The sequence below is a fragment of the Homo sapiens genome, chromosome 7 (genome assembly GCF_000001405.40).
Source record: "Homo sapiens chromosome 7, GRCh38.p14 Primary Assembly".
Taxonomy (NCBI): Eukaryota; Metazoa; Chordata; class Mammalia; order Primates; family Hominidae; genus Homo; species Homo sapiens.
In genome coordinates, this window is record NC_000007.14 from 103,479,843 (window position 1) to 103,496,923 (window position 17,081).

At 39.3% G+C, this 17,081-nt stretch overlaps 1 protein-coding gene, 1 long non-coding RNA gene and 1 pseudogene across 3 annotated transcripts in view, besides 1 other annotated feature; 1 reads left to right on the forward strand and 2 right to left on the reverse strand.

Annotated features, from left to right (window-relative positions):
• SLC26A5-AS1 (SLC26A5 antisense RNA 1) overlaps positions 1–17,081 on the forward strand; it is a 68,801-nt gene that overhangs the window by 34,636 nt on the left and 17,084 nt on the right. The gene's annotated exons all lie outside the window — the stretch shown is intronic.
• RELN (reelin) overlaps positions 1–17,081 on the reverse strand; it is a 517,870-nt gene that overhangs the window by 8,054 nt on the left and 492,735 nt on the right. For both annotated transcript variants that reach the window (NM_173054.3, NM_005045.4), the window contains exons 56-63: positions 16,684–16,926; positions 15,881–16,056; positions 12,111–12,184; positions 10,826–10,987; positions 9,900–10,057; positions 6,355–6,574; positions 3,811–4,008; positions 3,031–3,129 (exon numbers count right to left, since the gene is read on the reverse strand). In NM_173054.3, the coding sequence (NP_774959.1) occupies positions 3,031–3,129; positions 3,811–4,008; positions 6,355–6,574; positions 9,900–10,057; positions 10,826–10,987; positions 12,111–12,184; positions 15,881–16,056; positions 16,684–16,926 (1,330 nt within the window). The remainder of the gene's footprint in view (positions 1–3,030; positions 3,130–3,810; positions 4,009–6,354; positions 6,575–9,899; positions 10,058–10,825; positions 10,988–12,110; positions 12,185–15,880; positions 16,057–16,683; positions 16,927–17,081) is intronic.
• Positions 4,460–4,696, reverse strand: RN7SKP86 (RN7SK pseudogene 86; annotated as a pseudogene).
• Positions 9,837–11,036: an enhancer, noted in NCBI's record as "BRD4-independent group 4 enhancer chr7:103130126-103131325 (GRCh37/hg19 assembly coordinates)". NCBI's record gives its function as "activates an origin of replication core promoter dependent on BRD2, P300/CBP, MED14 and CDK7 cofactors, and independent of BRD4, by STARR-seq in HCT116 cells {active_cell/tissue: HCT116}" and the evidence as "EXISTENCE:reporter gene assay evidence [ECO:0000049][PMID:35650434]".

A 17,081-nucleotide genomic window follows, 5' to 3' on the forward strand; every position in this document is an offset into this window, starting at 1 on the left:
CAATATAAGATACCATGCATGACCATAATTTTTCTTTCTAAGGGTTTTCAGCATGTGTCCTTGGTGCACATGCACAGAAGCGAAACTATGGTAATAAAGTTAGATTAAAGCCAACCTTCACTTAAAAAAAGAAGTATATTTCTAAAAATTCCTAAGTGAAATGTATGCCCCAACCATTAGTTGCAAAAACATATCAGTAGCCCTGTTTGTAACATACAGTTACGTAGGGTTTGTATCTCTTAAGATACAAGCCTCAGTCTGCTCCTCTCCCTGCCATGCTTGAGGAGTTAACATTGCTAGTTCAAATAATCAAGTGTTCTGATACAAAAATGCAGTTAATTAAGAGAATGCTTTCAGTTAATAGGGGTTTATGGAGGTATTCCACCTATTTCTAAATATACATCCTCTGAAGCAAAGTTATAATTAAGAATATTTGTGATCATGACATGAACCTTGGCTCTAGCTTCTTTGTGCCTCATATGATTGAAGGACACTCTGGAAAACTATTATATTTAATTTTTTGAATTATCTGGAACTTTATTTTGCGCTCATCAAATGAATGAATTGAAGTAATTATTTTGTAGAGCTACTAATTGCATACTAATGAATGCCTTAAAACTCTTTGTGGCTCTTTTGAAAAGAAGTACTTTGAAAGGGTAGAGTGGTGTAGAAATGTTACACTCTAAGACCAGAGCAAAACATCAAAAACATAGTTCTGGAAATATAACATCTTAGTATTATGTATGTTTTGAAACAACTCATTTATTGAACGTAGCTTTGTGAGCTATTTCTTTTCTTCAAAAAGAAGGAAAATAAATTCCTTTAACAAATTTTTGAAATGTCATTAAAGAGACTGCATTTGCTTTTGAAATTATATATACATAAAAGCATATGGTGGTACATATAAAATTATAATTTTTAAATTATTCCTGAAAGAAGACTTGGAGTAAAATTCAAAGCATACAACACCATGCAAATGTAGCAATGCTCTTGTCTCATTCAAAATGTTTTAGTGCTCTGAGAGTTTGAGATAATAATGCAGGATAAGAACAGACTTATCAGGATAAGAGCCTGGTATATGACAAATTCTTCAAAGTATTTAAAATATGGAGCTTGATGCTGGTAGTTGCTTATAAGCATTAATTCCAACACCAGGTGACCTGGGAGACTCTCTTGGGTGCTGTGTGCTGAGGCTTCCTGCCGGTGCTCTGACAGCCTCTAAGGCAGCATGTTGACAGGGAGCAAGGAATAGAGTCCTGTTTCCAATATGTGAAGGGGTTGCTTTTACACTGGCTGGTATATTGGTGCCTCTGAACCCCTCGCCCCTGCTTTTTAATCTTAGTATAAGTGAGGAAATTACTGGTGATGATATGTCTCTGAAATCCAAAATAGGTAAGTGCAATTGATTGTTTGGGCAGGATGAAAATATCTACTCAAATGTGTGATATGTTAAGAATTATTGTGTTTACTCAAGGGGCAGGATTACTATCCTGCCTTCTTTTGAGGACTGTCAGGTTTTGAAGTTTCCACAGGAGTTTGGTAATGCTTTGTCAGGCACAGGAAGCCCCATTAATGCAAATTGTATTGGCAAGCCACTTGAAAGATAAGAAGTGGTTATTGACTCTCATTTTATTATCTACCAGTTTATGAGAATCACCTGAGCTGCTTTTAAAACAAGAATGATGCCCAGTTCCCACTGCAGATCAATTTAAAGCCCCATCCAAAGGGATGGGCCTGGGCATTGGGACATTTTTTGATGTCTTCAAAAGCTTCCCAAATGATTTTGACGTTCAAACAGATTGAGAAGTGCTGTTTTGAAAGGCAAGTAGCCAGGGTAAAATGGTTCTAGGGTTGGATTTTGGTCTATTTGGAAATCTCTCTATGGCCTTACTGTACATAGATTCATTTCAGCACCCAGGTTATTTTATTCTGCTGGAATAACGTAGTCTGAGGAAATCAGTATCTAAGTAAAACATCAGCCTCATATTTAGATTCAAATGAGTCTGGACTGTTACTTTAAACTTCAACTTTGTCTTGTGGAGGCAGAGCCCAGCAAGTTGTCCAAAAGCAGCAGCGCACACAGGAGGCTAGTGTGGGGACCAGGTTGCTCTTGGATTTGGGGGTTGATATGGATGCCATGCAAGCAGGTGCCTCAGTGAAAACTAAGACGAGGGCTAGCTCAAGACTGGAAAATTCAGCTCATGGCTATGACTGAACCAAAACAAATCTGGTAGTTTTCCTACCAATTAATCACTTAAATTTGCTTGCAAATTGACTGAAATCAGCCAAGGGACTGATTTCATTTTGGATTTGGTAAACAGAATGAACATTTGAACCTATCTACCGAGAAGATTCACCTCTCCTTGCCAACCACTTGGAGCCATCAGTCCGAACCCGTCGAGACATAAGCATTCCAGTTCTACAGGAACTAGATCATTAGAGAAAAAGCAAGTCATCTCTCTGTGAGGGAACAGTCAACCCGGCCAGGTGAGAGTGGTGACAGCTTTATTATATAAAGAGGGAAAAACACCTTTAACTTGTTAGGTGCTGGGATTGGTCAGGAGGAATCTGAAACCACAAACTCTTTGTTCTAGTTGCAACCACATCATTCAATGGAGAATGTCTGTAATTGGGCACATTAGCTAGTAACACTTCAGACACTGCCCACTACAGATCCTTCCTCTTCAAGGATGTCATTTCATTTTATAAGGCAACCCAGATCTGCCTTAAGACATGGTTTCCCATTTACCTGGAGACTTTTGTTTTATCCAATTTAACCAATATTGTCAACCCTTAAATAAATGTTGTGCTTATGGAAGTTTTCTAAGGTACATTACATTTCATTCGGGGCTTTGCTATTTCACTGATGATTTGAGCTATAGCTTGCAGTTGCAAAAGAGTGTAAGCCAAAGTGCTCCTGTGGGGGCTTCTCATCAAAAACGGATCTTACTGAATTAAGGGTCATGCTATATCAAAGGAATTTCAAACCTTCCTGAAATGGACATGGGATGCCATGTAATAGATACTCACAGGACGACCTCCACATGGTCCAAAGCCCATTGATCATGACCTGTTCCATTGTGGCGTGGTTGCCACCAGCGCAGTAAGACTCCTTTCATCCGTGCCTCCCTGGGTCACACACAGAAGGACAAAGAAGTTATACATTAGGAAACAGAACTTTTTGGTATTTGACTTCTAGATGTCAAATATTATAATAGGCTAATCTAAATCAACAAAATGTTATGCATGGAATTCAGATTTGCTTAGGTCATAGTATTCTTCTGAGCAGCATTAAATTTTATTGGCTACTCAAGGACTTGTAAAACTTTTCCATCTCTCTTCCTCCTTTCCCTTGTTCCATTAATATCCAGAAGATATTTGGTCAAGCATGGAGTGCTTTCTGTGTGACAGACACTGTGCTAGAAGCTGGGCTTACAATGCAAAGCAAAACTGACATGACTGCTTAACCTCAGTAAAATTTCAAACTAGCACACCAGCAGAAAATAAATGTTTTCTAAGACTAGAAAAACTGGTTAAAACAAGGGAAATCGGCAAAAACTGCCCTTGCGTTTAGTTATTATTGTCTATTCCCTCTTGTCCTTATTCCTTGCTTTAATTTGTGCCTTTCTTGTCCTAATCGAAAACAGTAACAGCACTTTGGAGATCTGGGTTAGTCTTCGTTCTGCCACCACCTAGTTTTGTGGCATTGGTGCATTAACTTTACCCAACTTCTACCTCAAACTTTGTGATTCCCAGGGATTCACAAAGGGATTGTGCATGAGACCATGCCTTTCCATTTGGGCCACTTACAGGGGGACATTGTAAGACACTCTCTGAGCTTGTGTGAAGTCCTTTGGCTGGTGCTGGGCGATGACATGCCAGGTGATCCCGTTGTTGACGCTGTATTGCAGCAGCACTGCCTTGTCCACAGCGTGGGGGCCACTCAGGTCACTGTTGCAGCTGTCCGTCTGCGACATGCTCCCAATTTGCAAAACAAACATGATTTTGCTGAAAAACACAGGGAAATCATCTTTATTTTTATTTATTTATTTTTTGAGATGGAGTCTTGCTCTGTCACCCAGGCTGGAGTACAGTGGTGTGATCTCGGCTCACTACAACGTCTGCCTACTGGGTTCAAGCGATTTTCCTGCCTCGGTCTCCCTAGTAGCTGGCATAACAGGTGTGCGCCACCACGCCTGGCTAATTTTTGTATTTTTAGTATAGACGGGGTTTTGACATGTTGTCCAGGCTGGTCTCGAACTCCTGACCTCAGGTGATCCACCCACCTCGGCCTCCCAAAGTGCTGGGATTACAGGTGTAAGCCACTGTGCCCGGCTGGGAAATCATCTTTATACTAAATTCAGGAAGTATTAAAGGAATTATACTTCCTTAATCTTTTCTTGTTCCTAAAGTCCATAATTTCCAAGTTCATAATATAATAGAAACAGAAGCAGCCAGTCTTGAGAGCTTGTTTGGAGATTCTAGCAGGGGAGCGTAGCTACTTGTATACCCTTGACCAAAGACTGATCCTCCCCTGTTGGGGATGGTCATCCTCTTCACCCACACGCAGCTTTGGGAGGGACGCACATGGAGCGGTGAGGGAGGAAGGGGACACCTGCCTAGCTAGCCGGATCAGCTGAATCAACCCTGGTGATCAATGAATTGACAGATGTCACAGCCAGATCGCCCTCACATCTGTGAAGCAGCCAGTCTTACGACTACATCACTGTTAGTAACAAAATTTATTTATATTGTCTTCTATATTATACATGTGAAAACCTCATAAGGCTTATTTTCTACACAAAGTATTTTCGACTTTCAAAGATGTATCCTCTTTTCATGATGTTGGAAATCTTGTTAGAGTATTTCATTTAGAACACCTTCTATTCTCTGAAAGGTAACGTGGGCCAAACAGACAGCTGAGGACATGGAGAGGACATGGAATACAACCACAATATTTATGCTGCATTCTTTTTACAAATAGCTCCAAGCTGAACACATCTGGATGGGGATAAATTATTATGACTGTTTTAGGAAAGGCTGTCTGGAGATCAGAGCTGAGGGAAAACTGAGTTAGGACGTGCAGGTTCTGAACCATGTCTGCTATTCTGTTCAACATGACATTTTGCTTTTCATTGTCATCCTTGCCCTAGATAGACCTTTTAGGCATGGGAAATAAATCATCATAAGATTCCTCATGATTAACAGAGTACCTAATTTAAAGTAGGTGGTGGAATAAAGAGCTAGACTTAGAAACGTATAAATGCATAAACTAATTGAAAACATAGTGTGCCATTGCTAACTATGCACCTAGTTGCAGCTATATATGATGATGTTACAGAAAACACCAGGTTATCTCTAGATTAAGTATATCTTTTTGGCAGGCCAAAAAAAAAAAAAAAAAAAAAAAAGGAAGATGATAGACGCAACTTATATCATGGTTTCCATACAGGAATTAATTTTATTTTCATTGTTTATCATATGAAGGGCCCCCAAACCTGCCTTTCCGCTTGTGAAAATACAACACTAATATTATATTTTCCAAAGTGAAAGGTTTCATGTAAACTATCTTCCCATTAATCAAACACATCTAATTCTCAAATATTCTCATAGCTACTGAACACTTTTCAGCATTCAAGAAATACTCTACAGTAATACCTAGCAACCTTTTTTAAGCCTAAGAATCTTTTCTTGAATTTATATAGACAAAAAGCTGTGTTTACTCTGGTTAAGGTAGCCAAAGCTGGGAAGGGCAGGTAGGGAAGGAAATTCAATCCTTCTTATGTCTTTGTCAGTCACTTCCCTAGTCCATTTGCAAGGTCTCTGCCCACTCTACTCTGCATTAACCCTCAGCAATTTAACCCTCAGCAATTATAGCACATAAAATTTTAAAGGTCTTATCCATCCAACCATCCATCCATCCATCCATCCTCCATTTCTATTTATTGTACTTACATAAGCTAAATATAGGCATATGTTTGCATTGCTACAAATTTATTTCACATACACATTTATATTTATATACTTGCCTGTGCTCAACATTAAATTATCTATGTAGTTTATCCCTAACCATTTTTTAAAATATTTGGCCATTTCTCTGGGTTTATGCCTACATTACCACCACTCAGCCACTGTGGGTGAAGAAATACAAAGCAATTCTCTAATAAATTTAAGCGAAACATAATTCTGAGTTGTGAAACATATATGCTTCCTTGTCCCAAATTCAAATGACAGGTTTTCACTGCTTAGTGACATCTGTGCCATGAAGTTCACAATCCTATCTAACAGACAATGGACAATCACTGGGCTTGTGACTAATTCTATGTCTGGACTAAAATATGGAGGTTTGGGTACCTTGCTCGAGTGAGATCCAGAGGCTTGGTAGCTGCTTGCCTGATCTGACAGCCATTAAAGTACAGTGAGTCTCCATGGGCGTAGGGGGCCAGCTGCCCACAGCCACTTCCTATGACTCCACCTTGAATGGTCTCCCAGTTTGCCTCGGTGACTCTTGCGGACTCAAAATTATCTTTAATATAACTGGGAAGGTCGTGACTGAAAACAGAGCAGTCATCACCTAGAGGACAAGGAGCAGTCACAGAAATTAAGTGGACCAACCAGAGTCATTCAAGATTAAGAACAAGTATTCAAGTTCAGGTTTAAGTAGTTGTTACTGTAAGAATGGCAAAATACAAGGAACTTAAACAACTTTACAAAAAAAAAAAAGCCAAACAACCCCATCAAAAAGTGGGTGAGGTTTTGAACAGACACTTCTCAAAAGAAGATATTTATGTGGCCAACAAACATATGAAAAAAAGCTCATCATCACTGGTCATTAGAGAAATGCAAATCAAAACCACAGTGGGATACCATCTCATGTCAGTTAGAATGGTGATCATTAAAAAGTCAGGAAACAACAGATGCTGGAGAGGATGTGGAGAAATAGGAACACTTTTACACTGTTGGTGGGAGTGTAAATTAGTTCAACCATTGTAGAAGACAGTGTGGTGATTCCTCAAGGATCTAGAACTAGAAATACCATTTGACCTGGCAATCCCATTACTCGGTATATACCCAAAGGATTATAAATCATTCTACGCTAAAGACACATGCACACTTATGTTTATTGCAGCACTATTCACAACAGCAAAGACTTGGAACCAACCCAAATGTCCATCAATGTTAGACTGGATAAAGAAAATGTGGCACATAAACACCATGGAATACTATGCAGCCATATAGAAGGATGAGTTCATGTCCTTTGCAGGGACATGGATGAAGCTGGAAACCATCATTCTCTGCAAACTAACACAAGAATAGAAAACCAAACCACCGCATGTTCTAATTCATAGGTGGGAGTTGAACAATTAGAACAGATGGACACAGGCAGGGGAACATCACACACTGGGGCCTGTTGGGGCAGGGGGCAAGGGGAGGAATAGCATTAGGAGAAATACCTAATGTAGATGATGGATTGATGGGTGCAGCAAACCACCCTGGCACATGTATACCTATGTAACAAACCTGCATGTTCTGCACATGTATCCCAGAACTTAAAGTAGAAAAAAAAAAAGAGAAATATAACAAAATCCAGGAAAAAAAATGAATGTTGTTACAGTAAAAAAAAAAAAAAGGCAAAATACTAAGTAGATACAGATTCCCAAAGTAAATGTTTTGTTTTGGCAATTATTGGCTTATATTGTTGGAAAAAAAATCCAATTTTCTTTGAGTCAATGTTTACTAAAACACGTAGTGCTCATGTCCGTATTTGCCGTGTAAAACTGTTGTTTAAATACCACAGCATCTGGCTGGGCCTTGAATGTTTACCAATGGTGGGTCTCAGTAGTGAACTCTCACCCTGGTATGAGAGGCCTATCTAATTTCTTTTTTCCTAGCATGATTTGTTGTAGAAAATACAGGTTAATGTACACTTGATGATTCTTAAGAGCAGTGTCTATATTTTAACTCGTTGGATTCCAGCACCTAAAACAATATTTAGCACATATAAGATATTCAGTAATGGGTGGGGCGTGGTGGCTCATGCCTGTAATTCCAGCACTTTGGGAGGCCGAGGTGGGAAGATCACCTGAGGTCAGGAGTTCGAGTCCAGCCTGACTAACACGGTGAAACCCCATCTCTACTAAAAATACAAAAGAAGATGAGCTGGGCATGGTGGCATGTGCCTGTAATCCCAGCTACTCAGGAGGCTGAGGCAGGATAATCACTTGAACCCAGAAGGCAGAGGTTGTAGTGAGCTGAGATCACACCACTGCACTCCAGCCTGGGCAACAAGAGTGAAAACTCCGTCTCAAAAAAAAAAAAGATATTCAGTAATGAAGCTGGGATAAATAAATAATGATAAAACTGCAAGTGTCTCTAAGAGACCACTGAACTGAATTACTGGCATTTAAGTAAGATATTATATTAGCAAACGTGTATGTGCTTGCATTTCCCCTTGATTTAAACAGTACATTTTTTCTACATGTCCTTAATAGTTTCAAATTAAGGTTCAGGAGAGAGGGCAAATTCCAGACATCGAGGACTTCTTGTGAGACATTTGATTCACTCATTTGACTAGAGTTAAAATTCTCCAGCTAATACAGTGACAGACCCAGCCGGTCTCAGTGACAATGACACCAGGGGAGAAAGGAAATGGCTAAGTAATTTCTAACATCAGAGATGTGCAGCAGTCTACATTAATCATATCCATTTGATTTCAATTCAAGGAAACAACATCAACCAAGAAATCTAAATAGATCCGACTCCAGAATTCAAAAACATGGATTCTTACATTGTATATCTGGGGGAAATTGTGTTAACTCTGCTCCTCCTTGGATAAATCTCTCAGCCATGAGTGACAGCAAGGCTGATTGGAAAGAACAACTTGACTAGTGGTCTTTCTGATATATGCTGGCTGTGTGACCTTAGGCAGGTCATTTAGCCTCCCTGAGTCTCAGTTTCTTTGCCTGTAGCATGGGAATAATTATATTAACCATAGATAACTGATGGGGATATCATAGATAATAAGCGACTGAAGAATAAGTTGGTGTATACTATGTAAATAGTAAAGCATAAGACAGTGTTAAGGATTAATTCAAAGAAGATTTATTAGCATTGCTATCGGCCAGGTATTAAGCTATGAGGATATAGAATGTTAACTATGGAAAGCGAACTTTGTAATGATAGAGGCTGAAACCTGTTAGAAACATTGGATCAAAGGAAAGCAGGCCTGCATACCTTCTAACAGACCAACAGAGCAATTTCCTGTGATGTGAAGGGTCGAGTAGATACTCTCTGCCCTGGATATATACTCAACCTCTAGAAACTCAAGGAGTGAAAATGTATTTCTTTGAGTCATAAAGGGGTGTGTGTGTGTGTGTGTGTGTGTGTCCGTGTCACAGTGACCTGGAAACCAGAACATTTTGAGTTTTCAGCTACATCTTAGGAGAACAGTGGCAGCTGCTGCTGGAAGAGGCTGAGGAAGGAGGGATACTGGTCAAGTATGTAGGCACAGGCAGCTAGGCCAGGAAGGAGGGAGGCCCAGAAGTGGAAATTAAGTGTTGGGGCTGTGGGCAGGGGCAGGGAGTTATATGAAAGACAGAGAATGTGAGGTACTATACCATATCCTGATTTAGCATATCTGGATTTATATGCTTATATATTTATAGAATGTCTGGAGTAGATTTCATTTCTATATTTTAAAAAATGCCTTCAGGAATATTGCATAAATCTATGCTTAATAATTTGTCCCAAAGTTAAAGAGTGACCAAGGAGTGTGTCATGAATCTCAGATCCCTCAGGCTGGAGTTTCTATCCATTTCCTAGTGGACTTTTGTATATATGTTAAGATGAGGAGAACCTCTTGGTCTCCTCTATCAAAGTTGGCAGCCTGGGATTCAGACCTTGGAAGCTCTCGTCGCAGATGCAGATGGCACCGGTCGTGCAGTATCCGTGCCCGCTGCAGAGCTTGGGGCAAGCCTCTCCAATGTACACGTGGTCAATTGCCCAGCTTTGCTTCTCAGTTTCTTCTCCCTTCTGGATCCAGCGGAACTGTGTTGCACTGAAAGAACCACAGAGAGCAGAAGGGATTCAGTAGGTTGTTACTTCCATGGCTGCATCCTGCCTCCAGCCTCTGGGAGAGGGGACTATTTGTGAGAAAAGGGCTTCCCAAATGTCTTCCTGAAGCACCCTGCTGGCAGAGGTGAGAGAACTTGTATTTCTTAGACTCTGGGAGTATAACCCAAAATGCCATTCTGGAAGCTTGTATCTTCTCTGAAAATTTCATGTGAATTTCCTATTCTAGTCCATAATAAATCTGTGTACATTTTTCCTACACAGGTGTATCGTTTTCCAAATCTTTGAGTAAACCGAATGCTGCTCTAGGAAGATTGCACTCCATTGTATTTATCCTGCAGCTTTGTGTAACCTGTCAGCCCTGCACACCCAGCTGGTATTTGTATCTGGATGAGAAGCGCAGCCTTTGGGAAGGCAGAACACTGGGGCAGAACTGGTGCCAACACCAGTCTTGGATTGGGGTCTGTCATTCAGGGCCTGTGATTGAGTTTGGTACATGCTATGGTATTAAGTCAAAGGAAATCTGAGATCTCTGAATCATTTACAGACACACTCCAATTTCCTCCTGGAACATGCAGTTGCCATTTGGGGGCATGGGTTGGTGAGAGGAGGGAGAAAAGGAGGGAAGATGGGAGAGGGCACCAGGGCTGCATGTAAAGCTCTGCCTCACACTGTCAGTTGTTTTCAGCTCACTGCATGAACTCTGTAGAGAGGCCAGATAATTTCACAAAGTTTACCTTAATTTGCAACCTACCTAGAGGAGACATGGTCAGGCAGCTGGATGGTGATTCTTTTCCAGCTTGAGCTGTTGACAGAGTTGTAGATGGTGGCTTCATGGAACTGGAAAGGGGAGCAGCCAATGCTGTTAGAAGAGGAAGGAAGGCACTGGGTCTGTACGAGCTGCCAGGAATCCGATCTGCAGAAACCAAAAGGCTTTGTTAGACAAATTGTAAGAGAAACATATAATCTGTTAATGTCAAGGTAATGCTTTGTGATCGGGTTAAATTAAAATATTTGTATAGGAGTTTCCTGTTTTCTATAAACATTTATAATTACAGATTATAAAAAAATTAAAATATTTTCTCTTAAGAAATATTCTGACTCTTTAAAAGCACACGGACAACAGAATAAAATAATAGCATGCATAGCAATGAATTCTGGTGGATTCTTCCTACTGACATTGTTACTAGAAATATACCTGGAGTTGAATGACAAAATTGTCTGTCTTCTCAAACTTAATGTAATTAATGTTTAAAGGTGATAGTCGGAGGGCTATTAACCCTAATAAGGTAACTGAACTATGTCAGACTTTTATTCAATACTGTTAATATGCTTTAGAAGAGGTGACTCTGGCTGATGCATATTCAGATCATTCACTGATTAAAGTTTTTGTTAGAGGTAGTTGAAAATGAGTAACATGAATAAGAGAGTTCTACTCTGAGGACAAATGTAGTGCTTTGCTTATTTTGATAAAATTTAAAATATAAAGTTTCTTGGTGGCAGCCTTGAATGAAAATGGATTTTTTTGGTTTGAAGGAAAATTTTGAAAATAAGACATATGTATACATTTTGTACAAGTGAAATTTATATAAAAATATGCACGAACTACCACTTTTAAGATATAGGGTTATTCCTCTGTAAGCAGCTGCCTTAGCCTGTAATTCCCAGCACTTTGGGAGGCAGAGGCAGGCGGATCACCTGAGGTCGGGAGTTCAAGACCAGCCTGACCAACATGGAGAAACCCCGTCTCTACTAAAAATACAAAATAAGCTGGGCGTGGTGACACATGCCTGTAATCCCACCTACTCAGGAGGCTGAGGCAGGAGAACCGCTTGAACCTGGGAGGCGGAGGTTGCGGTGAGCCGAGATCCCACCATTGCACTCCAGCCTGGGCAACAAGAGCGAAACTGTCTCTCTCTCTCTCTCTCTCTCTCTCTCTCTCTCACACACACACACACACACACACACACACACACACACACAACGATTTGGATGGGGTATTCAAGTTTGAAGATAATGTTAAAAATTATTTCACAAACCTTGCATCCTTAGTGTATTCCAGCATTACGGAATGAAGGTCACCACAAGAAGTGGCTTCACAACCCACCACAATCTAAAACAAACATAAACAATCAATACACAGGTAAGATTAGATGATACTGAATTCCATTAATTAAAATCCCATCCGTCCATTTATTACTCTGATAGGTAATATTCAGAGAAGCTTTTATAGAGCAGCCTGCTGGGATACCAAGAATACATTCTTTTGGATTCTGTTAAAGATGTTCAATTTTGCATGGAGATAAAAATAAAGGTTTTAAAAGTTACATTTCTATGTACTAAATTAGTATAATAAAAAATTAATCACAAATCTGGGTAAGATAAACTGGCCAAAAAGAAAGTAACATTAGTCAAATTTATAGACAGAAACTGAAAGTATCACTGATTCAAAACAATTTCATTGATAGCCTAACTTTCTTGATTGTTACTATTAAATTTTTAGTTGGAATTAAAATCAGCAATTTTAATTACTTAATATTCGTTCTTGGGGTTTTCTGTATTTCCATATCAATGAAAGCTTTCCATATTATATGCAATTAAATGTTTGAATCATTAATAATACATAAATGCTATAAAAATTTGGTGATTCAAATTTAAGTCCTAATCATCTATTTAATCATGTCCTATTTCAGCACTGATAACTAGGGAAGGTTAGTGTTAAAAATTTCAGGCCATACAGTCATGAATAAAACAACTCTAAATTCAGAGAGAGAATAAGAAGCATAATGATAGTGGGAATCATAATACACAAATATAATGCTGTGGTGCTTCAAAGGAGATAGTATTTGATTCAGTGGATTAGAAAATAATCAGATAGATAGGGTACATGCGAGCTGCCCCTGAAGACTGGGAAGAGTGTGAGAGGTAGAGATAGGAAAAAGATATTTAGGTGAAAGAAAGAGTGTGAGTGAAGACAAAGTAGGGAATCATGGTGGGACATCAAGAGCACAGTATATAGCATGTTTTGGTCCAAGTATATCGTATATGAAATATTCAGAGATGAGGTTAGAATGATCGGTTGAATTTGGCAGACCAGAAGCTGCAGCCTAAGGTGTTTGACCTTAATTTGGTAAGTGATGGAGAGTCATTAAAGGTTTCTGTGGAATGATGTGCTGCTTAGAGATATGCTTTATAAAGATCAATCTGACCATGATGTCAAAGACAGATAGGAGTGGAGAGAGAGAGATTGGGAGTGAAAAGAGTACTTAGTCAACTGTTGATTTAGTTAGGGCCAGAAAGGAGGTGGTGATAGTGCAAACAGAGAAGATTGGATGGATACCAGGAACACTGGAAAGTAGAATTCAAAGGATGTAGTCACTGATTAGATATGAAAAGTGAAAAATCAAAGCCTAGTTGAACATTTCAAGCTAGTTACTAGGTGATTGGTGGTGCCATCGACAGAAACAGGAAAATCAGAGGAGTTGGTATGGTGAGGGAAGATATTAAGTGCACCGTTAGACACATTCAGTTGAGGTGCCAATGTGCAAAGGTGTAGAAATGTGTAGGGGCTATTAAAATATTGAATTAATTGTTAGCCAGTCAAGGTTGGATGTGCAGATTTGAAATTTGCTCTTCAAGATATGATTCTTGAAGCTAGATGATTGGATACAATTCCTGATGGTGAGAATGTCTATGGAGAGAGAAGAAAGTTGATACATACTGAGAAATGCTGACATTTAGAGGGCTGAGGGGAGAAAAGCCATAAGAAGATAACAGATATCAAAGAGGTAGAAGGAGAACGAGCAGAGAACCCAGAAGCCTAGGGGAAAGAGAATTCCACAGGTTGAAGAGGGCAAGAATAACAGTGTCAAATAGTGTAGAGAGGAAAGAGAAGGTGGGGAATGTGCAAAAACTGTTGATATTGGGTACGGTAAGTCTCTGCTGACTTTCAAGTATGTAGTTTTAGTGATACTTTACTAAATTTTTGAGGATAGACTCTCTTTTTTTCCTAAAGAAATTGCCTTGGTTATAGAAAGAGAGACCCAGTCTCTTCAGTGCAGTTACTTCTGTTACAGAAGTAACAAAAGAGGAGGCTCCAATCAACTCAATCAAATATAATACCTTTGATCTGGGCCACAATGTGAACCTGGGAGAGGGAAAATCTTCACTCTTAAGGAACAGGGCTTAGAAGTAGAGGAAGTGTAACACTTCTTCATATCACTAAGCTAAGAATACTCCTGAAGGAGTGGTAGCATTTGGGGAGCTTGCCTTACCCTCCAGTCCCCAAAGGAGAGTTTAACATAGAGCTGAGGCGAAAAGCAAATACATTTTTATTTCTGCTAGTAAGGATTTTTACTATTAACTGTCATTGTAGTACATCAAAAAAGGGTATTAGAATAACTGATGTCTTTAAAATGACCTAGTAATACAATACATTTCTGTAATGACTTTTGTGTGTGTGTGTGTGTGTGTGTGTGTGGGATATGGTCTTGTTCTGTTGCCCTAGCTGGAGTGCAGTAGTGGGATCATAGCTCACTGTAACCTCCAACCACTGGGCTCGAGTGATTCTTGTGCCTCAGCTTCCTGAGCAGCTAGGACTACAAGTACATGCCACCACGCCCAGCTAATTTTTTTTTTTTTTTTTTTTTGGTAGAGATAGGGGGTCTTGCTATGTTTCCCAGGATGGTCTTGAACTCTTGGCCTCAGAGATCCTTCCTCCTTGGCCTCCCAAAGTGCTGGGATTACAGGTGTTTGCAATAGAGATACATCAATTGATATTGCTTTGCCTTTCTCTGAGTGTCTATTAATTATTTATGTCTTCACTTTCATCCTATATGAATCAAGTATTCAGTTTAAAATATTTGAGAGTCCTCCTTAATTTTTTGAGGATTTAGGAAGTTCCAACAGGACTAATGTAGTATAGGCATATGAAGTCAGAGACACAAGAAAATAGAAAGATACACTGGAAAAAAAATAGATGGAGAAAAAATGGCTCAATGCACATAATAGGCATGGAGTAAGATAAAGAGGAAGGGGAGAGACAGCGGAAGGGAAGGGAGAGAGAGAGAACTGTGCAACATAAAAAGGAGATAGTGTTACAGAGTAGAGATAGAAGTAGGCAGAGTGCCCTATTTGAGCTTTCTATTTACAAGGGTAGGGAGACTGAAATCCAGATTACATATATAAGATAGAATATATTCAGTTGGTGTAAAAGTAATTGCGGTTTTTGCCATTAAAAGAATTGGCATTAAAAGTAATTCCTTTTTTTTTTTTTTTTTTTTGAGACAGAATCTCGTTCTGTCGCCCACAGTGCAGTGGTATGATCTTGCCTCTCAGGTTTCAGCGATTATTATTTCTCAGCCTCCCAAGTAGCTGGGATTACAGGTGTGCACTACCACGACTGGCTTTTTTATTTTATTTATTTTTTTATAGAGACAAGGTTTTGCCGTGTTGGCCAGGCTAGTCTGGAGCTCCTGGCCTCTTGGCCTCAAGTGATCCTCCTGCCCCAGCCTCCCAAAGTGGTGGGATTATAGGCATGGTTCCACTGCACCCGGCCTGCAATTACTTTTGCACCAGCCTAATAGTTACATTTCTTGCTATGTCCCAACATTTTCAGGGATTTTATCTATCCTCAAGTAATCATACTTGAATAAAGGTCTTTGCAAAAGATGACCTCTTTTATTCATAAGATAAAGTCTTTTTTAATGAATAATATCAGTCATTTCCTTATAGTTGTCTGACTAACCATTCTCCCTCGAGGCCCCAAATGCAATGCTACTTTCTGTTTTAAAGAGCCACTTTTCCTTACTTTAAACTGCATCATGTATCCTGGCTGTATAATGAGTTCTCGGGAGGAGAGAGCATTGTGAGTCTTGTCCTTCTTTTTATTTGGCCAATAGAGGTGAAAGGATGGATTGCCACAAAATCCTGCTGTCCTTACAGCATTAGGGTAAAAACTCCAGTTTTCTTCATGGGAAGTGCCTTCTGTTAAGGAAAATTGGAAGCAATATGGCATATTATTCTCTTGAGGAAAATTGGAAGCAATATGGCATATTATTCTCTTGAACTGACCGATTTATTGTTGAATTCCTTAAATTTTTATGCTCTACTAGCTTTCTGCTTACACTTTAGGATTGATTTTTATTTTATTTAACTGGGATAATGCATAAATCCAACGTGAGAAATCAAACTTTGACAAGACTATTAAATGGTAGTATAATGATTACCGTACTTTTAAAATGTAATTGCTAGTCTAGGTAACCTAGCACCGAAAAGTTCTTGATACACTTTGTCAGCCAGTGCATTAAGTATTTCTGTGACACATTAATTACTAAAGAAACTAAAATTATTTTCGGGTATTGAAATTTCAAATTATATTTAAAGCCAGACATTGAGCCTTTAACATGATTTATTGAATGCTCAGTGGACATTTCAAAAAGCAGCCAACTTTGAAGATTTATAAACCACTGGGCAAAATAACAGCTAACATTTGTTGAGCAGGAGTATGGGCTAGGCACTCTTATAAATGCTTTTCATGTGCTAATCTATCTGAAGACATAAGCAGAAAAATGGCTCACAGGAAAGAAAATTGTTCAATGTCTTGTTTCTTACCATCATCAAAAGTGTCCACCAATTGGCTGGGATTGATTTCTGCTCCACCAATCAAAATGTTGTCCAGTGCCCACTGAGCACGCTCCACCCCAGAGACCACAATTCCATTGCTGATCACAAAAGGCTGCCACCAGCGAAGTCGAGTTGTGTTGGTGAGGGCATCTTCAGGAAGAAGTATGTAGTCGTGTCTAACAGAAATGTATTTCTGGTAATCCATCTCATGGAGCAAAGTCCAGGTAATTCCTATAATAACAAATATACCAACATAGCAATATATCTAGAATCTCCTGCCTCCTCATAAACCACCAGTATACTTCAGATACTGTGAACTTCCCAAAGAAATTTTCAGCCAGGAAATGACAACTGATTTTCCTGACTTTGATATTAGGTATTCACTA